The sequence below is a fragment of the Homo sapiens genome, chromosome 20 (genome assembly GCF_000001405.40).
Source record: "Homo sapiens chromosome 20, GRCh38.p14 Primary Assembly".
Classification (NCBI taxonomy): Eukaryota; Metazoa; Chordata; class Mammalia; order Primates; family Hominidae; genus Homo; species Homo sapiens.
The window spans coordinates 26,184,540-26,209,965 of NC_000020.11; the positions used below are offsets into that span (position 1 = coordinate 26,184,540).

Below are 25,426 nucleotides of genomic sequence, written 5' to 3' on the forward strand. Positions count from 1 at the left end.
TCAGTAGAGACACAATATTATTTCTTACATTTATACCTTATCATGCTTTATCACTGGCTATTTATACTATCACTTCCAGAAATTTTAATAAGAAATAATTTACATATACACATACACAATCATATATATGTCTTCACATGCCCAAACACACAGCGTATGTGCATATACAGTTGTTTGACTCAGAGAGAGGTGTATCTGACACTTAAAATATTTATTTCTAAAATATGCATTTCAAAATATATGGCTGGGCTAATTTTGTCTTTAAGTATCTGCCCTTGGAAAATGAACTGAATTTTCATAAGTAATGAGAAACCTGGGTGAAGCTCTCCTAGAAGATTGGCCAAAAAGTGTAAGGCCTGAGGCATTGCCAATTACTAGCTTCCAGAAAATACCAGATGTAGAGGTCACCATTTTTATTACAAACTATGAAAATAAAACATGTTTTAAAATTTTTTTTGTGCGATGAAAGGCCAAAAGCTGAAGTATGTGTTTGCCATGGAAATAGTGTTTTGTTTACAGGACTTGTCTTTTCTAGAACTCATCCATTAAATGGTAGGAGAGAACCACTTCAATCTTGACATTGTATTGCATTCGGAGCTTTCATTACTAGAATAATATTTGTTCATTTTTCAATAAGAAGCATAAAATGTTCCATTGCTCATTTTGTCCGTTTGTTTAATGACATTGGTAGGCTTGTTACTTAAATTAAATCCATCTAAAGAAAATGAATATGTACTGGTTAATCCAACTGAACCCATGTAAATACACTACTGTGGCTCTAAACATTGGCAAATATAACAAACCCTCACTACCATACAGGATGGAATGTTACAGATAATGTTCTGCTTCACAACCAATGACGATGGTGCCAGAATGCTCATGTTCTTGTTTTTCCTACTTTCTGATAATTTGTACTAATTAAGATAGGACTGGCATTGCAGATGTAGCAACCAAACATTTTATTTCTTCCTTTCACAAAATCACTCTAGTCCGGGTGAGTTTTGGGGGATTTGGCTGCTACACAGGAATTCATTGAGTTTGCTTTTGTCTTCCGGTTCCACAGTCTCAACACAAAGTCTCCTCATTGCCCTGGCAGAGGAACAGAATACTGGAGGGTTTTCTACTGACCCAAAGGGACACACATGATTTCTACTCACAGCTGTTTGGCTACAGCTTGTTTCTTGGTCCTGGTTAATTGGAGGAGGGCTAGGAGAATAGGAAAGTGCAGGTTGCATTTGTCAAGTGTTGTTAATCCTCTCACATCTATCATCCAGGTAAAATTTTTCACTGATCTGTACCCACAAACCAGGGGGAGTTTTTTTTTAACCACCGACAAGCCTGTTCCTTTGGTCTGTTGCACTTTTGAATCTTTTGGTTCTCTTTTCTTTTTTTTTTTGTATTCCCTGACATGAAATAAAATTATACATTTTATCCTTGCGATAGTTTGCTGAGAATGATGGCTTCCAGCTTCATCCATGTCCCTACAAAGGACATGAACTCATCGTTTTTTATGGCTGCATGGTATGGGGGGAGGGGTAGGGATAGCATTAGGAGATATACCTAATGCTGAATGATGAGTTAATGGGTGCAGCACACCAACATGACACATGTATACATTTGTAACAAACCTGCACGTTGTGCACATGTACCCTAAAACTTAAAGTATAATAATACAATTAAAAAAATTATACATTTTATAACTTTGTCAAATTCTACATGCTATTTCCTTGCTTGAGCTTAGATTTCTCTTTTTTGACCTAACAAGCCCGTACCATTTTAAAATTCAGTGTTTCAGTGCTACTTAAAAATAGAAATGCTCCTTTTATCCGCCAGTCCCTTGCTGTCATAATACTATATGTTAAGTGAAGATTTATTATATAATTTATCAGATTGAATATTTCTCATGTACATTCCATATCTGTGTGTGTGTGTGTGTGTGTGTGTGTGTGTGTGTCTGTCTGCCTCATTCTTTAACCTTGCCCTACTATAAAGAATAAGGAATGTGAGTACCCATGTTACAACTACCTGTGCTTCAAAAAGAATGTAGGTTACAGTATTTACACAGTTAATTGTTGAAATAGCTAAAGAGGTTAGCATCATGCTTATGCATATTTAAGTGCTCAATACATAGTACCTTTCATGACCATACAAAATAATATTTGGAATATATGATTACTTACAGTGTACAGACTTGGTATATTACTTCTGTAACTTTTTACTTATTCATAGGGACTGTTAAATCATATAATTCATTTGATTAGATAGCATTCACAACATTAGAAAATTAAACATAACCACTACAATATTCTACACTTTTGATTACTTGTTTTTGATTCTTTGTCTCCTAGGCAAGAGAAATAGTATCAACAGAGGAATGGAATTATAACTAGAAATTTTATTTTGGTGAATAAGCTGAGGACTTCCTAGAGAAGCTGTATGATGTGAAATAGTTGCAAATAATGACAAAGTAACTCGTAGATAAGTTACTTTAAGGCTTTATTTGTTAAGTTACTGCATAGAGTTGCAAAAGCATCGACAACATATTTCCTCAAAATGTAGAGTTTACAAGTTTTCTGAGCTCCCTGAAGTTTGCAATCTATTCCAGTCTCAGTGTCCTCTAATTTTACATCAATCTTCTAATGATCTAGATTGCCCATTGCATGCAGCTATCTTTTCATGTTTGATTTGGTTAAAGGAAAATCAGCTTTACATTGTGAAAATGCATATTGTTAGCGAATTGTGAAATTGTGAGGAATTGGGCTGTAATTACTGAATATTGGCTCTCCATGAACATGTTGCTAAAATGTGGGAAGATGTGCCAGAGAAATTGTCTCTCTCCTCAGTAGTCCATCGTTACAGCAACAATTGTGGAAATCAGATGAGATGTGGAACCATTTTTGATTGCCTTAAATGGCGCATTTGTATATGCCAGCAAGAATCTATGCTTCTATGTAAATTGAAAAAGGGAAATGAAACAGTCTGTGGATGTGGACTCTCTCAGGTTGAACGTAGGTGGATCAGCTTGTACTCAACATCTGTTCAGGCTGGAAATGCAGAGGAAGTTTAATATGTTTACTCAATCATACTGGTTTCCTGGGTGCCAAGGCAGAAAATCTAAAACATATGACTTCTGTTCACACTATGTGGGAGCTATTTAGAACAAAGGTGATGATCCTGGAAGAAAATGTGGAGACGCTATCTCGGGTACCAGCACAGTTGGACTTCTTTGCTGCCAGCAATCAACAGCCCTTAAACATCAACATTTCAAGGTTTTGTCGACCAGTGTACCAAGTAACCTCTAAAAACATTTGAGAAGAAATAGAAAATAACACTAGATTATTTCTTAACATATCAAAAGATTATCAACATATGGCCTTGGATGCTTTTCATTCCCCATCCTTATATGTCCATACAAAATTATAATACATTTAATGTAGCATTCCAATCCAGATAGTAGTTTGTGGAGTTAAATTTCAAACTCCCTTTTTGAAAATTTCCTTGCATTCATAAACACGTTAGCTATCCAGGACAGCGTGTTGCTCTAGGAACAAAAGTGGGGACTTACAAAGAAGGCAAATTATAAGAAATATATTTCTGTCAAAATTTTATGAAACAAGGAAAATCATAAAATAAAAATTAATATTAGAAGAAAGTCTTATCAAATTCTATATAATGATTTTTCATCAATATACTTGGCCTCTAATTAGTTAAAAGGAAGATCATGCAAAGCCCAGAGTTTTTATCTTGTGGTTACTATTCAATTTAAATTCTCATATTCCCCAAAATGTCCTTGTTTTAGTTGGTAAGACAGCAAGACAGTAGCTACAATTCAGTGGAATTAAGTACTTTGCCATATTCCATGAAATACACAAGGAGAGGTCAGAAGAAACACAATTATTTTTGTCTGGCAGAATACAAAAAGGTGTCACAGAGTTGGCATTTGAATTGGATTTTGGAAGATGAATGGAAATGCACTAGCTGGAGATGAAAAGAACATAATGGACTGAGGAAAGTTCCTTTCCAAAAATCAAGAAAGCTGTAAAAGGCACGGGGATTTTAATAATTATCTTCAGTTGGAATTACATGTATGTTGAGTGCAGGGACAAAATTGAAAAAATAGTTATGCCTGAAAAGTTATATGGGAAATTATTATCAAAGGCTATTGATGTCAAGCTAAGAAGATTACATTTTACCTAAAACACCTAGGATCTTTAAAGTGGATGTAAGACTAGTTCCTCTTCCCCATTCTTATGTTTTCCATATTGTCCTCCTCCTTGTGAAAAATTCCACCACCGTTGTCAACACTTCACTTTATATACCATACTAATATAATACTTTCACCCATGAGCAGAATGGATGAGAACATTCTCAGAAATAAATTAAAATTACTACATATATTGTGTTTGAAATGGAAAACCATGAATAGATACCTTTATAGTAATAAATTAAATCTTAACAGGTGACTTGCAGAGAACATGGTAGGTGGTACAAAAGTAGCAAAGTGGGGTGGGGAAGTTTGTAATTTCTAAGCAATTCTCTAAATATATTTATTTAGTAATCATCTAGTTCTGGTAGAGTGACTTAACTGAGCGATGCATTTCAGAAACATGGCTTACAGAAATCAGATATTTAGGATAGTTATAAATAAAATACAACACAAAGATAAGGCATCATTATATATACACACAGGAGCTTCATAATTACAATTATATTTGTAAAAGTATAATGTTTAATTATTTAATTGACTAATAAAATTACAATAAACAAAAATGACTGACTTTAAAGATATGACTTGTATAAGCAGGCTTGTAGTTACCTACTTAATATTACATAAATTTATTTAACAAGTAAATAGACAAAAGTTACAATATGAATTTTAATATATATATTATATATGTCTATCCACTTTGAAAGTATGTGAATATGTTTAACTTAAATAAATAAGAGGATAAAGAAAAATCGGTCTATCAGATAAAAAAATTAATGATAGAAAAATAAGAAATCCATAAATGATATTAAAGCTTCCCTTCTCTGTTGTTGCATGTTATGAATGGTTCTCATATTTACTGAAGAACTAAGGTAAAGTACTGGTTTTGTAAGGGTGGGACATACTGACCATAAAGCTTAAGATTAAAATCAAGTGTCATCCTGCACAAGGATGACACACAAATCTGTGAAGTGTTGCATATTTCTTGCAGTCCCCAAAAGGACATTTGACTAATTAGCTCCAAGGAAATGGTGTGAGTCAAAGCAAAATGGGTGACACCCAGTATTGCACTTGTGATTTTCATACACAAAATATTTATGTAAGGTGATCTATGAAAAGAGGTGTGGTAACACATAGGATCTTGTGTGCAATATGTTGTTAGTAGGCCTCTCAGAAATGAGAACATACCAACTTGCATCTTGTTTGTGGAACTTACAAAAAATAAAGGTAGAGTTTTGTCTTCCACAGCAGCTGGAAATGAACATCGTGACTTAAGCATCATTCTAACAAAGATTTGTTGATTCAGGTTTAAGGAGGTAGATAAAGAGTAGTAGTAGTCCACGCCAGATGCTGAGATCTGTTAGTTTTGTGCCCTTGGTGTGATTGATGAGGTCAGTAATAGAGGATGATCAGGTTATGCAATGTAATGAATTAATATATTTATAAATAAATTTCATTACAAATTATAAAATAGCTTAGATGTCTTGAATTACAAGCCACAAAGAATAGAACATCTAATAACCAAAAGTAGGAATTAATAACAGAAAACTGCAACATTTCAACATTACAACCTATGAAGAAACACTTTTAAGAAAAAATAAATTTATTTTTTGTAGAGACAGGGTCTCCCTGTGTTGCCCAGGCTGGTCTTGAACTTCTGGGCTCAAGCGATCACCCTGTCTCAGCATCCTAAAGTGCTTGCATCACAGGCATGAGCCACTGCACCAGGCCAACACGTTGGGTTTTATTGGGAATTTTAAAATAGTTTCAGCAATAAGATTCAAGAATAAATTATTTCATTGCTTCACCATTTCTTTGAGCATTTTAAAAATGTTATCTTGTTAAATCTTTGTAATAACCTAGTGAAATAAGTCTCTAAAATCCTCATTTTTAGAAGACATTGAACCTAAGAGAAGCAACTTGTTCAAGAAAAAATACCTGTTGGTAACTGCGCTAGGACTTTTTATGAGTTAGGGACATTTTCCATTAAGCCAAGCTAACTCTAGTTAATTTACTGAGTGATACTGCCCTCAATTCATGAGTATTTCATCTTACTTTATTTATTATTTAATTAGAAGCTTAATAAGTTCATAGAGCTTACAAACTTAAAGTCTATGAAATAAGTAATGTTCTGATGTTAGCTCTGATATTGTCTGAAATACTCTAAGAACTTAATAAATTTGGTAAATGTTTTCTATATCCGTGTTAAAATAGTAATTTTATTTATTACATTTTTATACATAGCATTCATCAACAACTTTTGAAACATATACGAAAATTATCTAAAAATCCTCAAAATACCAATTCAGGTAAGACTTCAGATAGCAAACTACTCTTGATCGTGCTACCATAAGATTATGGAAGCGCTGATCACAAAAAAGCAATTCAAAAAGCAATGTGTAAATAGCATGTGTTTCCATATATACGTATGTGGGTGTGTGTATATATATGTATATATAGCTTTAATTTTTTTAGTTTATTATTCAGAATTAGTTAAGAATTTAGTTGTAGGTAGTTTATAATCTCAAAAAAATTATCTGAAAAAATATTTAATTATGGTCCCTAAAATCCTATATAATACCTTTGTGTATATAAGTAACACAATTTTTAAGTTTGTATATTGTATGATTCCTCAAGTGTCATAACAACTGAGACTTGTTATAAAATGTATAAACCTTGGTGTGATTGATGAGCTCAGTAATGTGGGATGATGAGGTTATCCAATTTAATGAATTAATATATTTATAAATAGATTTGATTACAAATTAAAATTAGTTTACATGCCCTGAATTACAAGCCACAAAGAATTGAACATCTAATAACAAAAAGTAGGAATTAATAACAGAAAACTGTAACATTTGAATATTATAACCTGCGGGGGTCTATCCTGCAGACCCCGGCTGCATGACGGATGAGACACATACCCAGACAGCGATATTCAGTGAAAGAGCAGCAAGGGTTCCGAGCCGATTACAGACACCAAGGTTCTTACAATAAAGTGAGCTGGAGGAAAGAACCTGTTATAAGGAGGAAAAAATATACTCACTATTTATTAAGTGGAAGTCAATTATTATACATAGAGGTCTTCATTCTTATTGCCTTCATGTTGAGTAGTCTGATAAGGAGAAGGCAGAGGAGAGATTTGTCTTGCTATCTTGCAGTGGCAAAGGAAAAGAAAAATCTATTAGTGGGCTCCTAGAGTGAAAACCCTTATTCAAGGATCAACTGTGTCACATAGTGACTTGTGTCACTAAAAAAGTAACTATCTTTAGAATTTGGAATTTAATAATACTTTTCTGGCACCATAAACAAATGTCAGCAAGAATTACAAAACTTAGCCAGGGTGCATCAGTACCAATAGGAGAATATCTTTCAAAGATACCTACTGAGTGCAGAAGTCAGAAAAGCAATTCTTTGTTGAGAAGCGCAGGTTATGTTACATAGTCTTGTACCAACAAGGTCTCACTATTATCAACTTCATTCCGTCTAAGTTGAAACCAAATAAGATATGTTTACTCCATTAGAGCAAGGTATGTTGTTCTATCTACTGGATAATTAGTGTGTTAATAGTAATTTTGTTACAGCAAGATACTCTGTTTCTAATAGCCAAAATATTATCATTATAAATATTCAGATAGCTTAACTCTAAACTCAAAAAAATTATAAAAATATTACAAAAACTTTTCACAACAATGAAAATGCTACTGATACCTAAATGTGACACATTGTACAATATGAACTGTATGAGCACATCTTTATTATATATTTAACAAAGGACCTCTATAAGTTAGGTTTGGCAAGTTGCAGGAGACAAAGATGGAATACACAGTTTGGGTCTTTAAGGTGCTCATAATACAGAAGAGCTGTGCCTATTGAATTTCTGCATTTTTCCAACAGAATTTCCTTAAAAAGTTTGTTATTCATTTATCCACTTGTCCACTTAACAAATAACTGTCAGGTATCTTTAAGGTACTAAGCATCTTCCTTGTTATTATCATTGTCATTTTTATTTGCTTCTTTATTAAGATACTAAACATTTTTCTTGTTATTATTATCTTTTTTATTATTTATTATTTATTTAGTGTTTACTCTGTGCCGGAACCCCTTTTGGAGCTTATAATTATTACTTATTATGTCATGTTGTTACCATATTCAGCATGTGTCAGAAATTTTATATCCAAGGTGAAGAATTAAAGCTTTAAAATGTTTGGTAGTGTCCAGGCACAGTGGCTCACTCCTGTAATCCTAGCAGTTTGGGAGGCCAAGGCAGATGGATTGCTTGAGCTCAGGAGTTTGAGACTAGCCTGACTAACATGGTGAAACTCGTCTCTACTAAATACGAAAAATCAGCCGGTTGATGTGGCCCGTGCCTGTAATCACAGCTACTTGGGAGGCTGAGGTAGGAGAGTTGCTTGAGGTAGGAGAATCGCTTGAATTGCATTGAGCTGAGATCGCGCCACTGCACTCTAGCCTGGGTAACAAAGCAAGACTCCATCAAAAAAAGAAAAAGAGAAAAGAGAAAAGAAAAGTTTGGTAATATTTAAGGAAAGCATACAGAATAAGTAGAAGTTTGCCAGGTGAAGAATCAGGAGGATGATATTTAAGCAGAAAGAAAATTTAACCAGATTGTGTGTTTGGCAGAAGGAACATCTACAGGAACACCTGACGAGGCTGCACCCTTGGCAGGAAGAACACCTGACACGGCTGAAAGCTTGGTGGAAAAAACACCTGATGAGGCTGCACCCTTAGTGGAGGGAACATCTGACAAAATTCAATGTCTGGGGAAAGCAACATCTGGAAAGTTTGAACAGTCAGCAGAAGAATATGTTAGGCCATGTGTCTCTATAACAGCTATTGAACTCTGCATTGTACAGTGAAAGCAGTCATAGATAATGTGTGAGCAAATAGGCATGATTGCACTCCAATAAAACTTTGTATAAAAAACCATTTGGTAAGCTGAATTTGGCCTGTGATATATAGTTTCCTGGCCCTTCACACAGAAGATAGATGGAGTGTAATTACATAAAAAGTTTTAAAGACAAAGTAAGCTTTTGTAGTAGTTCATGCTGTAGTCTTTTTTTTTTTTGTCACCAATCTGTGGCCTAGTATCAATCTATTATGAAAATCTGACCCATCCAGGGTAAAATGAATCAAGTTCAGAAGCTCAATTTACAGATTTAAACCTGTAGGTCTTTCTTTGCCATTATTTTATTTTGATTTGTTTAACTGAATTTTTTTTAACTTAAAAAATAACAATAGTATTTGGTAGGGTTTCTTTTTCATGGTGAAAGCCATCAGTTAAGGGGCCATGTCTAAGTAGGAAATATAAATATAACATAATAATAATAATAAAATAATAATAAAAATGGCCTTCAGTTTCATATATTATTGGATATATTTTCCTCCAGAATTGGCATTTCAGCTGAAGATAATGTGTGCTTCAAACTTGGAAATAAATAATGCATTTAATTATTTGATTAAAGATTGCACAGTGAATTTAATGAAGACATTATAGTCTTGTAATGTAATATAAACTCAATCTTCTACTCACAAACAACTTTAAGACAGAATTTAGGAGGAATGTCCTTTGGAAAATTATCTTTCCTTCCCCCACAGATGAATCAAATAACCAAACGTACTGTTTGGAACATTTCATTTTATCTGGAATTAACCCTCTGTTGGCATGTCTTCTTCATCACTGAAAATGTAAGAAAGCACAGCCTCATCATGAAAATGCTGGGTATCCACGTCTCACACAACTTAAAAATCATAATGAGTTGCAGGTTTTATTGTCAAGAATTACCCTGTGCTTCAAAAATGTGCTTGCTCCTTATGAAGCAATATAAACCTTGTTTTTAATCTTGCAAACTGTATATTCTATTGGATATGTCTATTAAAGATAGAGTTATGAGTGAACAATAAATGTCTTTCCTGAGAAAGGTGTATTTTCTGTTGCACTTAGACCTGAAGGTGGTGTAGAAGATACTTGGCCAAAACTGGGGCAAAGAGGGGTTCCTGTGAAGAAGCAACAGTGAGAGTCTGGTTATCTACATATAAAAGAATAAAACTGGACCCTTAGACTGTACACAAAAACAACTCAAGGTGGATTAAAGGCCTACGTGTAAGACCTGAAACTATAAAACTCCCAGAAGAAAACACAGAGAAAACAACTCCTTGATATGGGCCTTGACAATGGTTTTTTGGCTATTGGCTATCACACCAAAAGCTCAGGCAACAAAAGCAAACAAGTGAGACTGCATCAAACTAAAAAGCTTCTGCACAGCAAACACTCAACAAAATGAAAAGGCAGCCTGCAGAATGGGAGAGAATATTTACAAACCATATATCAGATAGGGGTTGATATGTGAAATGAAAATCTCACACAACTCAGTCAAAAAACAATCCGACTGATAAATGGCCAAAGTATCTGAATAGACATTATTTAAAAAAGACATACGAAGGGCAACAAGTATATGAAAAGGTGTTCAACATCATTAATCAGAAAAATGTTAATCAAAACAACTATATCACTTCGCAACTGTTAGGATGGTTATTATATAAAAAAGAGATAAGTGTGATGAGGGTGTGGAAAAAGGAAACTCATGTTCACTGTTGGTGGGAAAGTAAACTGATACAGCCATTTTGGGAAATGGTATGAAGGTTCCTCAAAAATTTAAAATGGAGCTACTGTATGACTCCACAATCCTCCTGCTGGGTATATACCCAAAGGAACTGAAATCAGTATATGAAAGCTATATCTGTATTCCCATGTTTATTGCGGTATAAATAACCAATAGCCAAGCTATGAAAACAATTGGATAAAGAAATTATGATATATAGTTATAACATATTATATATCATATTATAATCTTATATACTCTGTAATAATATAAATATTATGAATATAGTATTCAATCTTAGAAAAATTAAAATTGCCATTTTTGATGATATGGATGAACCTGGATGGCATTATGCTAAGTGAAATAAACCAGACATGGAAAGAAAAATACTTCATGATCTCACTTATATGTGCTATCTAAAAACAAGCCAAGTATATAGAAACAGTAGAATGGTGGCCATCAGGGATAAGGATTAAGAGGAAATGAAAAAAAGCAGATCAAAGGGTACAAACTGGCAGTCATGTAGGATGAGTAAGTTGTACCTAACGTATAGTATGATACCAATAGTTAATAATAATGTATTCTATACTGAAAATTTTCTAAAAGCATATTTTCAGGTGCTCTTGCCAATCACATAAAAATATAACTATGAAAGGTGATGGATATGTTAATTGGCTTGATTATAGTAATAATTTCATGGCATATATGTATGCCTTAAATATGTACAATAAATAAGTAAATAAACTAAAATGTAGGTTATCAAAACTTAACAATTTAAACATTAAAACTTTCAAAACTTGAAAAAATCCAATGGGAGAGATTTACAATTCCTTCAACACTATCAGAGCAGCAATGATGGAAGATATGTAGAGGAAGGAGACAACCTGATAAATGTAGACTCATCAGCAAAGCCTGAGGGGACAGTAATTATATCCATAGTGTTGACAGCCAAACCATCAAAAACTTTGGTGTAAATATATTATTTTTGCAACATATGAAACACAAACAGAACAGCAAATCTTGATTCAGGCATCTATCGTCCTAATTAACTGCCTCTCTGATCATGTGTGCTCTCTGATCATGTGTGCATGTGTCACCTTGATCGAAACCATTTTCAAAAATAACGCAACAAAAATAAACTATTGTAAATTTTAAAAATGAATTATCACGTGAAGTTTATATTTGAAGTTATTTTTCAAGATTATACTTATCCTGTGGCCTTTAAATTTTTTAAAAATTTTTCACTCTCTAGTTGAATATTTGCTGTATGCCAGGAAAACTTCTGGACACTGAAGATACTTACAGTCAACATTACTTCAAGGCAGTTATGGCATCCTAATTACTGTTTTTAGTAATATAATATCTGCTTCCAAATACTCTTAGAAATGGGCAACTTGATAAGGTGATTCCTGAAAGTCTCTGCCATCTTGATTGTGTTAACTGTGTTTATTTAAAGAGGCTAAAAATGAGGGTGGTTTTTAATGCATGGTAACTATTCATTAAAAATGAAATTATATATGAAAAATGAAATTATATATGAAATTATAATGAAAAATTCAAGATTACTCCATGCCTTCTAACAGTATTATTTCTACTTGGGTACTGTTGACATCAGAACAAATTATTGGGATAAATAAATGTGTAAGGGCCATACATACCTACTAAATCTGAGTGCCATGAATTTGTAATTTTATGTTATTTTAATTATTGTAGTTATTACAGTATGTGTTTATAACCCTTTTTGTGTTAATATACAGTAATCCTAGAGACACCTAGAATTATTTTAAAAGGTGAGTCAGTTGTCTTCAGTTATAGAAAATTGACTTATACACTTTTAGTAGCGAAGTCAAAATATCTGAACTAAGTTCACTTCTGCACAAAGGAAAACTCTGCGAGTAACTGAAATTTTCTCAAGATTGGCATATAGACAATCCTAAAAAATGTCCTGGGATATGAACTATCTCAAATTGGCAGCATATACTGGCATGTGCCTCATCCTGCTGACAGTCATTTCAGTTTGATACACTTACAAAAAAGAGAAAAAAGATAGCTTAATAATTCCAAGTTTAAATAGTTATATTGGTATACTCCTTAAAAGAAAAATCAGCACATTATCTTGGAGTAAAATTTTACTTATGATTTCTTCACTTTTCTCCCATCAACTCAACAGGCAGAAAATAAAACATATTAATAAATACACATGCACACACACACACATTGTGGAAATCAAAGACCTGAGTCTATGTGTAGCAGTGTGTTGATAAACTATCTGTAGAGACTGGAGGTCAAATTAATTGTATATATGAAAATTATATAACTCTAGAGACTCAAGAAGACAGATAAAAGTTACTACATAAGAAAATAGAGATTTCTCTATTTTTCCACAACAGAAATTAAAGAGTGGAATAGTGATTTTAAATACAGCTTCTGTTATCATTTGAGGGAATAGAAAAGTGAGGGCAACAGAGATCGGAATATAGGCACTAATACTTGAATGCCTGTTATGTGTAGCTATTGTGCTTTGACAATTTTACATAATTGTCTTATTTAACCAACACAAAACTTTATGAAATTGATGTTTCTAAGACTATTTTTCTGTATGAGAAAACCCAGGTTCTGACTTGATGTCACTCATGCCATATTGGGTGGCTGAGGCAGGATTCAAATGTAAACACGGCAGCACCACAGTCTATATTTTATTAATCATACAACCACTATATCCACCTAATTATAAAGTCTGTATGAAAGCCCAGAAAAATAGGCCAGCATTAAATTGAAAAAAGCATTAAAGAGAAAACTGTTGATCTAAAAACATTTAGTTTTACAACTTTTAATTTACCAAAATTGTGGTTGCTACTGTGACTGTTGTATAGGGAAACCATGCACAAATTAATTCATGACACATTCATGTTCTTTTTGCATACGTCTCTTTTAAAAAAAAAGTTATTTAGGTAAAGTGCTAAAGAGAAGTTATTTCACCTTGCTGACATTGTGTCTTACAGTTTTACCCAACCAATTTTAGTCATTACTTCTTTATCTTAACAGGATTACTTAATTGCCTAGTCATGGAATGAATGATTTGGCTACTTCTATAGATGCATTAATAAAGCCTTATTTGTATAATAGTCAAGTTAAGATGAACATGCTTGTGACCTCTCGCAGAAATAATGAAGATTCTGCAATTTAAAGAGCAATAAAATGTAAAGATGTAATTACCAACTCTTCATTATCTTACGGAATTTCAAGATAAAATCACTTTATTTCAATGTCAAAAGACAGAGCATTAAAGTCTTTTTCAAATACCATTTAATTGGATAGATTAAGATACTTTAATATATTAATTTCTTTCCTTGTTACTGTATATTTCACGATAAGAATGCAGGGATATATATTAGACTTCTGGGAAATTGAAACTGGTGTAACTTACCAGTTAATTCTAAAATCTATTAATCATGTGCTTTGCTTATCTTTCTTCCTTGGTAAAATATGAATGTTCAAAGATATTTTCATGTTGTCTAAAGCATCCGCATTTCATATACAAATATATGAAATATATAAAATATTAACAGAATTATACCAAATATATACAAAATAAAAATATACAAAATATTAATTTAGCAGAAAAAAAAACTGTTGCATGAAGATAAGGTACAGGATGGTACTTTATCTTATGGTTTTTTGTGAACCATAGTCAGAAAAATCGGGATCAAAAATAATAAAACAAAATATACCCATTGCCTTAAGGAAATAGGTAAATGAGATAATTATATTTTTAAAGGAACTATATAAAAGCTTTATGCAAAAATCACAACCATATTTCTTGTTCCTGCACATCCCAATCAATTCATTAGATTGTTTTACACATTCTGCAAAAATATTCTAATGCAGGCAGAGAATTTGAAATGTAAAACATTATCATACTGTCTCCTATATTTAGAGCTCAGCTATGTCTCTTATATGTTAAAATGCTACTTCTGTTTGACACACACTCTTACACCTACTGAGGAAAAAAATTGCTTCATATTAACAAAGTGAATTATCTCTTTTGAGTAACATGAGTAACCTGGTCAATAGTTACTTACCGTGTGTTAGTTATGGGCTGAACTGTGCTCCTCTCTCCCAAAATTCATATGGTGAAATTCTAAAGCCTAGTATTTCTGAAAGTAACCATATTGGGATGTTTTAAATAAGAATTCATTTAAAATGAGGCCCTCGGGGTGGGTCCTAATCCAAAAAAATGGTGTCCATATAAAATAAAATTTAGAAAGGGGTAAAAATCAGCTACATGTATGCACAGAAGTACAACTGTGTGAAGATAGAGCTGTGAGAAGGCAACCATCTATAAGCCAAGAAGAGAGGCCTAGAACAGATCCTTCCATCATGGTCCTCAGAGGAGCACTTTGACCTTGGATTTACAGCCTCTAGAACTGTGGGAAAATAAATATCGGTTGTTTAAGCCACCCAGTCTGTGTGTGTGTGCATGTGTTTAAGTGCCACCTTAGAAAACTAATATAATTGACAAAAGACATAATGGACTTTTTAAAGCCAGCACCCAACTACGTTAGCATCATTTTCAGATGTTTGTTTTAGTTTGTTTATTTTATTTTATCAAGTATTATAATGATAATTAAAAAAAAAAAGTTACATGAGGTGGTTCACACTTTTAATCCCAGCACTTTGGGAGGCAAAGGTGGGAGGATCACTTGAGGCTGGAAGTTCAAGACCAGCCAGAGCAACATAATGAAAGCCAATGTCTACAAATTTTTTTCTTTAATAAAAAATAAAGCTGGGTGTTTTTATAATAATGTGTTTTATTATAAAGCACACACCTGTAGTTCTAGCTACTTGGGAGCTGAGTTGGGAGGACTGCTTGAGCCCAGGAGATCAAGACTACAGTGAGCCATAATTGCACCACTGCACTCCACCCTGGGTGACAGAGTGAGACCCTGTCTGTAAAAAATAAATAAATAAATAAAAATAGATAAAAACAATTTCAAAACTTAAGACTAAAGAAACTCAGAAAACTGTCAATTACATTTTGCTCTGATTTTTCTCTTGTATATAGTATAATGAAATGTTACATCAACTTGCCATTTTTAAAAGTAAAAATCAGATGGATTTAGCTGGGCACAATACCAGTTGTATTGAGAATTTCTAATGTCACTCAGATGAAAGACTTGAAGGAAAGGAGATAGATTTAGAAGGAAAAGGAGACAGACTTAGCAGGAGAGATGGTTAATGAGATCAGTCATTCAAATAATCTACCTACTAGTAAAGTTAGACAAACAAACAAACGGCAACAACAACAACAAAACCCTACCCATCATCTTTAGAGAAAAATCATAGTCTCCCACTTGAAATAACACATTCGTCTGGAAGCTTAAATAAAAGAACACATATTTTCACACAGCACAAAAGAATTATTTTTATATTTGGAACACGATTGCTACAGAATTATGAAAAGAAAAAAATACAGACTGTAGAGAACAAAATAAGACAAGCTTCCATCAAGAAGGAAACATAAAATATACTAACTTGAAATAACAGATATACACAATATATGGAGTTCAAGTTTTTAGTGTTGACTCCAGCCGAGATATATCGGAGGCAAAGAAAGATTTGCAAAGGATTCATGAATTATCCAAAGTTAAACATGTTATATCTAACCAAGCCAGACCTAGAACACATTATTGGTCATATTCTTTCCATTGACTATGTCTAATTCCTCTTAAAGTTTTTTCCCTTTACATATAAATCCTACACACATTACCACTTTGGTAAGATAAACAGAACAAAACACTTATTTTTTCTTTCAGCACTTTGGATGTGCTATCCCATTGTGTTCTGACTACCATTGTTTCTGATGAAAAGTCAGGTGTTAATCATAAAGTCATTTCCTTGTATGGATGAGTTATTTTTCTTTTGCTTTCAAGATTAACTCCCTTCACATTTTGTTTAATCCAGAATTATTAGAAACTCTAAATTTGAGACTCAAAGTCACTCATCAGATCACCACAAAATTTCAAAACATACATACTTAGAATGTATATTCTTGTATATATCAATATATAAGAATATCAATATACTACTTTAATGTCTTCTTTTATTAATACAAAATCATTGGAATATTTGGGAAGGGAATATAAGTCAGAGCAAGAGCATCCTAGATTAGTGATTGCTACATATTAATCATTCAATCATTGTTTTTGTGTCAATGAAAGAATAAATTACTTCCAGTATTTTTGCTGACATATTTCTTTCCCTAGTTTCAAGATTCACAGAGAAATATACCTTAAATAATATACTTTGATTCTCTTGAAAACAATTTTCTATCTTTCTCCCCAATCTTTCTCAATATTTTTAATACAATATTTTTTGTTTCTATATCCATCAAAAAGTTTCAGTGTGATGAGATAGCATAAAAATCTATTTAGAGGATCAGTTTGGAAGTCAAGATGTGCAAAATGTTTCTTATCTGCTCTGTTCTCTTTTCATTATCTTCTCCCTGACCCAACCCCAAACATTGTAAAGAATGCTAAACCCTTTATAAAGAATTTTACCAGAATCGATATTAAAATTGAGTGTGCTATTTATTACTTAGAAGTAATTATCAAACTTTAACCTGTAATCTCATTTATTTACAGTGGAGCATAGTAGTTAGAAGAAACGTGACTCAATTAGAGGTCAATTACTCCTTAGCAATGTATCAGAGTTGGGCAAGTTACTCAACCTCTGCTAATAACAATCTCTTAATCTGTAAAAATAAATATATCCATGAAGTATTCCTAAGGTTAAATGAAATAACTTATATTAAAGTAAATCACTTGGTGTAATTTTGAATATACAATATGTTCTAGCTTGAATTACTACTACTAATGAAAAACTGAAGCTCAGATCAACAAAAAAATAGTGCCATTCTCCAACTTTTTCTAGGTAGTTTGCTAGAAATAAGAGAGCAAAATAGATTAGGGCCCAGTTTCTGGATTTAAGGATCAGAAATCATCTGCTGTGTTTATTATGAACCTTTTGTATCCCTTCAGTTCTTCCTGTAAATTTTTACAAAGAACTTACTGAATAAACAGTTAAAACACCTCAAATTAACAAAATCTTCTCTACTATATCTCCATTATTTCAAAAAAGAAAAGAGAATCCTTTCCCCGTTCCTTCTTTTTGTCAGGTTTGTCAAATATCAGATAGTTGTAGATATGCAGCATTATTTTTGAGGGCTCTGTTCTGTTCCATTGGTCTATATCTCTGTTGTGGTACCAGTACCATGCTGTTTTGGTTACTGTAGCCTTGTAGTATAGTTTGAAGTCAGGTAGCATGATGCCTCCAGCTTTGTTCATTTGGCTTAGGATTGACTTGGCAATGTGGGCTCTTTTTTGGTTCCATATGAACTTTAAAGTAGTTTTTTCCAATTCTGTGAAGAGAGTCATTGGTAGCTTGATGGGGATGGCATTGAATCTATAAATTACCTTGGGCAGTATGGCCATTTTCACCATATTGATTCTTCCTACCCATGAGCATGGAATGTTCTTTAATTTGCTTGTATCCTCTTTTATTTCATTGAGCAGTGGTTTGTAGTTCTCCTTGAAGAGGTTCTTCACATCCCTTGTAAGTTGGATTCCTAGGTATTTTATTCTCTTTGAAGCAATTGTGAATGGGAGTTCACTCATGATTTGGCACTCTGTTTGTCTGTTATTGGTATATAAGAGTGCTTGTGATTTTTGCACATTGATTTTGTATCCTGAGACTTTGCTGAAGTTCCTTATCAGCTTAAGGAGATTTAGGGCTGAGATGATGGGGTTTTCTAGATATACAATCATGTCATCTGCAAACAGGGACAATTTGACTTCCTCTTTTCCTAATTGAATGCCCTTTATTCCCTTTTCCTGTCTGATTGCCCTGGCCAGAATTTCCAACACTATGTTGAATAGGAGTGGTGAGAGAGGGCATCCTTGTCTTGTGCCAGTTTTCAAAGGGAATGCTTCCAGTTTTTGTCCATTCAGTATGATATTGGCTATGAGTTTGTCATAGATAGCTCTTATTATTTTGAGATACGTCCCATCAATACCTAATTTATTGAGAGTTTTTAGCATGAAGCATTGTTGAAGTTTGTCAATGGCCTTTTCTGCATCTATTGAGATAATCATGTGGTTTTTGTCATTGGTTCTGTTTATATACTGGATTACGTTTATTGATTTTCGTATGTTGAACCAGCCTTGCATCCCAGGGATGAAGCCCACTTGATCATGGAGGATAAGTTTTTGATGTGTTGCTGGATTCGGTTTGCCAGTATTTTGTTGGGGATTTTTGCATCAATGTTCATCAAGGATATTGGTCTAAAATTCTCTTTTTTTTTGTTGTGTCTCTGCCACGCTTTGGTATCAGGATGATGCTGGCCTCATAAAATGAGTTAGGGAGGATTCCCTCTTTTTCTATTGATTGGAATAGTTTCAGAAGGAATGGTACCAGCTCCTCCTTGTACCTCTGGTAGAATTCGGCTGTGAATCCATCTGGTCCTGGACTTTTTTTGGTTGGTAAGCTATTAATTATTGCCTCAATTTCAGAGCCTGTTATTGGTCTATTCAGAGATTCAACTTCTTCCTGGTTTAGTCTTGGGAGAGTGTATGTGTCGAGGAATTTATCCATTTCTTCTAGATTTTCTAGTTTATTTGCTGACAAAAAGAAGAAATGGGGAAAGGATTCCCTATTTAATAAATGGTGCTGGGAAAACTGGCTAGCCATATGTAGAAAGCTGAAACTGGATCCCTTCCTTACACCTTATACAAAAATTAATTCAAGATGGATTAAAGACTTACATGTTAGACCTAAAACCATAAAAACCCTAGAAGAAAACCTAGGCAATACCATTCAGGACATAGGCATGGGCAAGGACTTCATGTCTAAAACACCAAAAGCAATGGCAACAAAAGCCAAAATTGGCAAATGGGATCTAATTAAACTAAAGAGCTTCTGCACAGCAAAAGAAACTACCATCAGAGTGAACAGGCAACCTACAGAATGGGAGAAAATTTTTGCAACCTACTCATCTGACAAAGGGCTAATATCCAGAATCTACAATGAACTCAAACAAATTTACAAGAAAAAAAAACCCATCAAAAAGTGGGTGAAGGATATGAACAGACACTTCTCAAAAGAAGACATTTATGCAACCAAAAAGCACGTGAAAAAATGCTCATCATCACTGGCCATCAGAGAAATGCAAATCAAAACCACAATGAGATACCATCTCACACCAGTTAGAATGGCAATCATTAAAAAGTCAGGAAACAACAGGTGCTGGAGAGGATGTGGAGAAATAGGAACACTTTTACACTGTTGGTGGGACTGTAAACTACTTCAACCATTGTGGAAGTCAGTGTGGCGATTCCTCAGGGATCTAGAACTGGAAATACCATTTAACCCAGCCATCCCATTACTGGGTATATACCCAAAGGATTATAAATCATGCTGCTATAAAGACACATGCACACATATGTTTATTGTGGCACTATTCACAATAGCAAAGATTTGGAACCAACCCAAATGTCCACCAATGATAGACTGGATTAAGAAAATGTGGCACATATACACCATGGAATACTATGCAGCCATACAAAATGATGAATTCATGTCCTTTGTAGGGACATGGATGAAGCTGGAAACCATCATTCTCAGCAAGCTATCGCAAGCACAAAAAAACCAAGCACTGCATGTTCTCACTCATAGGTGGGAATTGAACAATGAGAACACATGGACACAGGAACGGGAACATCACACACTGGGGACTATTGTGGGGTGGGTGGAGGGGGGAGGGATAGCATTAGGAGATATACCTAATGCTAAATGATGAGTTAATGGGTGCAGCACACCAACATGGCACATGTATACATTTGTAACAAACGTGCACGTTGTGTACATGTACCCTAAAACTTAAAGTACAATAAAAAAAAGAAACCCCCCCAATAAAAAACAAGAAAATAATAATAATTTTGTCAATGATAGTTAACTATATGTTAGTCACTAACACTATGGCAGTTACCTTCAAATTCATATTTCTAATATTTCCAATATCTTCATATTTATATATCTAATTCATATTTGAACCCAGCTCTAATTTAGGAAGTTCTCTTTTTTCTTTTAGAAATTAAGGCATAAAGTGTCACGTGACTTGCACAAGATTGCACCACTAGTAAACTTAAAAATATAGTTTACTTGCCTACTGTCTCAATGTTTTAGTGATTTATTGATCATGCACAATTATTTTTGAAAACAGAAATTCATTTAGCATACCACATTTCAAGATCCATTGGTAGAAGCCACTTTATTAGCTTAATCAACAAAAATGTCTAGAAAATTTGAGCTTTTATTAACTGATAACATATTAGAAGTTACATATATATATATATACATATATATATATATATATATACATATATATATATATAATGAAACAACCCCTATAATCTTTATAAAATTATTTGGGAGAGGAGGGAGCAGATGAAACAAAAATAAGCTTCCAGCACATCCAGCCTTAAACGTTAAGTTAACTTGCTGTCTGTCCTGCTTCCTCATAATTGTTCACTAGGTATGGCCCCACAATCATTTATATCCTGTCACAAGATTATAGTTAAACTTAACTACTCATAGATAACAACTTGAGCATTGTAAAATGTTAAGTTTTCTCTTTGAGGTATTCTTTCAGATCCTACATACCAGTGAAACTACTGACATCAGCTGCTCCGAAGGGCTCCAGGAGAAGCCGACTCACTAAAGGGCAAAGTTTCTACATCCTGGTGATTTAATCCCCCTTAACCAAACCAGTCAGTGACCCCAATTTTCCAGCCCCTGGTCCTCTACAATCCCTTCACCCCAGCCAAGTACTCTCTGGAAAGACAGATTCGAGGGTGCTCGCATCTCCTCACTCAGCTGCCCTGCAATCATTAAACTCTTTCTCTACTGCAAACTCTGTTTATCAATTTATCAGACTGTGACTGCACAACAGGCATACAAACATGTGAGTCCTGTATCATTTATAAATATTTAACTTTTATGTATATTTAACTGCTATACCATAATTGACTAGTTTGTATGTTAATATTAGTAGGTAATAATAATATTTATATTTCCTCCATAGGTAGCTTCTGGGGGCATTTCTGCCTGGTAAATTTTATTCTTTAATGACAAATACTAAAGTAAGTAACTTTAAAATATTATTGAGAATTTTTTTTCTATTGATGGGACACTGAATTTGTAGGTGGAAATAAAAACCTAGCTTTTTACTAAACTTAATTTTTTATTTAAACACAACTCAAAATGTAAATATAAAATTAAGAATTTCCAAAATTAAACTTAGTTTTAGGAACTCACATAAGCAAGTGTAATACTGAAGAGCAAAGAAACTGTGCTCTATAAAAAAAAATTACAAGTAATTCTTGAAATCTAAGGGCTAATTTGTGAAGTAAATTTGGAAGCTACTTTATGCTGTAGCTCCATCCTAGAGACCGAGAGAACTGCACTAGGAAAACCTGTTCAACCTTTTTTTAACCAGAAATTCTTTCTTTCTCCAGAAATCCTTTTCAGGTAATGCCTAATGATATCTCATTGAACATGTATTAGAAATTGTAGTTTAATTTTTAATTAAATAATTCAGTGAAAATATATTAATTGTAAAGATAAATTTTAACACATATGGGAATACTAGACTTACGGTGGTCATCAACCCAAAATGCTACAAAATTACATAGAATGGTTAGTTTGGCAAAAAATAAATATCACCACTAGCACCAAAAACCTAGGTTTCAAAAAGAAATAAAAGAAGCATTCCAAAATGTTAAAAATTTTTCATTTATCTACTTTCTAAATGTTCTTTGAAACACTTCTTATGTCATCATAATTTTGAAGTTTAAAAGTAAAGAAATAGTTATTCTAGTTAATATACTACCTTAAAGTTACTCTGGCTCACAAACAGAACAAAGCAAAGCATGACTTGACAGCAGTCGAATTACGGGAAATTGAAGCTAAACGAAATTGGATACCTCACCTCATCTAAACTCCTTACTTTATAAGAAGGAAAAGCATCACAAAATGTTGAGGCCATTTAACTTAAAGTCATCAGGTGAGTTAGAGATAATTTGAGACCACTGCTTTTTTTCTCTTTGTTACTATTCTCTTATGAAGTTTTGCCTGAAAACAGGTCTACTAAAAATATAAGAATTTGTAATGAAGATGAACATATATCATTGCCTTTCTGCTTAGGATTGTTCAATATTTTCCCATTGATAATATATAAAATCCTACCTACTTTGACCTCCTCTCCCACCATTTCTTTGCTCTCTATCTCCTAGAACTTCATTCTTGACTCCAAAGCTGCACCCTCCTGCATCAGTTTCTTTTGTTTGAAATCTTCAGCTCTTCATAAATTTCATCCAGCAAACTCCTATTTATCCTTTAACTCCCTATTATTTTTTCTTACAGTGCCACATTTTCCTTCATTAGCACATATCCAATTTAAAGTTACATAGTTTGAGTTTTTGCTTGACTTTCTGTTTCTGCACTAAAGCATAAGCTCCACAAAAGCAAGTATCATGTCTGATTTAACAGGGTATATTCTATTCTTTTTTTTCCACAAGGCGGTGCCCGGTTCGGTCCCAGACGCGGCCACCAACCGACGTAAAGCCGGTGAGCCGCTCGGGGAGGAGAGAGGATCGGCGGGCGGCGGGCGGGGAAGGGGGCGCAGACAGGCAAGGGCCGGGGACCGCGAGGGCAAGGGCACCTGGGAGCCCGCAGAGGGGCGGCTGAGGGAGAAACCTCAGGCATGGCCGGGCCACCAGGAAAACACGGCCGCGGGATCCCACCGCCACAGACACGAGGGCGGTCCCGCGGCGCCCCGCCTGGGACGCCGGAAGGCCCTCGGCACCCACCAAGACCTGCCTCACGAGCCCCTGGTCCCGCCACCGGGGCCCCGAAGCGACCACAGCCACAAACTCAACGCCAGGGCCACATCGCTCGTGATTCTCGTCCATCCTCCGACCCGGTCCCGCTCCGGGAGACCGGCGCGCCCCCACCGTGGGACGCTTTCCCAGGGCCAGGCGGCCCGACCACGTGCCACGCAAACGCCGTCGTCCGCACCGGTCGCGACTCGGCAAGGGAGCGGGCGGAGAGCTGACTCGCGGCGGAGGGGGGTCACTCGCCGGACGGAACGCTGCGCGCAGCCATCGCTCGCTGTCAGCCGCGTCCCAACCCGCTAGGACGCTGGGCCCTGCCGGCGGGATCCTCCCCTTACTCGGAAAGGGGAGGCGCCGGCCACAGTAGGCGACGAGCCGCGCTCGGCCACCACCGCGGTGGCCGGCGGAACCCTCGCTCTCCCCCCGTCACCCCGTCGAGGGGGAAGCTGAGGAGGGTTCCTCTGCAAGCGAGTCGCTACTGCAGCGCTACCATAACGGAGAGAGAGACAGAGGCGGCAGGCCGGGGGATCCCGTACCCCAAGGCACACCTCTTGGATCGCTAGAGAAGGCTTTCTCACCGAGGATGGGTCACACTCCCCACCCGCCAGCCGCCCCTCGTGGGGCCCGAGGGGCCCGCAGAGGCGCTCAGGGAGGCCTGGGGAAGGGAGGGGGCCTGTGGTACCAGGAAAAACCTGCGTGCGGCAACCTTGAGCGTTCGCGGTCAGGGCGGGGACCGGCAGGTGCGAGCGTGAGCGCAACTCCACAAGCCCCCGCCTCCCACCCCCCCCCCCACCCCGTCCACCCGCCTCTTTTCTTCAGAGGCAAAGCACCTCCGAGTAAACCCACACACGACCGGTCGGAGGCAGAACGGTAGCCCCTCGGCGGCCGGCCGGCGCACGCGTCACCAGCCCAAGCCCACCGCGATCGCTCACAGGGCCCGTGCGCACCCGCCAGAGGGGAGCACCGGACGTGCGCTCGCCGGACCAGGCGGGCGCCCTTCCCCGCGTGGGAGGGGCGCGTCTCGTCTCACTCAACCGCCTCGAACCCCACACCGACGAGCTCCCTCAGGACCCACGCGCGGACACCGAGGCGCCGACCGGAGGAGGGGGCGCTGGGGGTGGGAACGACACACCACCGCTCGGCCTCGGGAACCTGAGGGACAACCCGGAGCGCTCCAGGAGCACCGCAAAGGCCCAGGGGGAGCCAACGCTCGCGCAAACTCCCCGGGAGGGCAGCACGACGGGCCGGCGGGACAGCACCCCCACCGCTGCGGAGGGGGGCCGCCCGCAAGTCGACAACCACAGGAGGCGAGAGCGAGGGGTGCCTGCCGCGTCAGAGGACCCCCCGACCCACCCCGCGAGGCAGAAGGCGGGGGCGGGACAGCGAGGTCAGGCCGGGTTCCGCACCCCATGCCTTCCCAACGCACCACCCGCAGGCGAGGAAGAGGAGAGACAAGGGGCCCCCGCGGGCGGGACGAGAAGAAGGGTCCCATTCGCCACGAATGTCCGCCCCTCGCCCGTCGCGGCTCGGACACGGCCAGGGAGAGCATGACATCACCATATTCTATTCTTACAAGAGTGCTGCCACGTAAGTGTCAATGAATGTTTGTGAAATAAATGAGGGACTAAAGGAGTGATCGAACAAATAAA

General features: G+C 36.3%; 1 long non-coding RNA gene and 1 other non-coding gene across 2 annotated transcripts, besides 2 other annotated features; both read right to left on the reverse strand.

Moving 5' to 3' along the window:
* Window positions 1-2,479: 2,479 nt before the first annotated feature.
* MIR663AHG (MIR663A host gene) lies at window positions 2,480-24,694 on the reverse strand. The gene is made up of 5 exons (NR_040095.1): window positions 24,584-24,694; window positions 14,910-14,984; window positions 7,594-7,693; window positions 7,254-7,361; window positions 2,480-3,298 (listed from the first exon to the last, which is right to left on the reverse strand). It is a non-coding gene; the product is annotated as an MIR663A host gene (long non-coding RNA).
* Window positions 23,212-23,713: an enhancer, noted in NCBI's record as "H3K4me1 hESC enhancer chr20:26188387-26188888 (GRCh37/hg19 assembly coordinates)". NCBI's record gives its function as "activates a minimal SCP1, AML or CMV promoter by ChIP-STARR-seq in naive H9 embryonic stem cells {active_cell/tissue: H9 hESC(naive)}" and the evidence as "EXISTENCE:reporter gene assay evidence [ECO:0000049][PMID:30033119]".
* On the reverse strand, window positions 23,647-23,739 carry MIR663A (microRNA 663a). The gene has a single exon (NR_030386.1). It is a non-coding gene; the product is annotated as a microRNA 663a (primary transcript).
* Window positions 24,597-25,157: an enhancer, noted in NCBI's record as "H3K27ac-H3K4me1 hESC enhancer chr20:26189772-26190332 (GRCh37/hg19 assembly coordinates)". NCBI's record gives its function as "activates a minimal SCP1, AML or CMV promoter by ChIP-STARR-seq in naive H9 embryonic stem cells {active_cell/tissue: H9 hESC(naive)}" and the evidence as "EXISTENCE:reporter gene assay evidence [ECO:0000049][PMID:30033119]".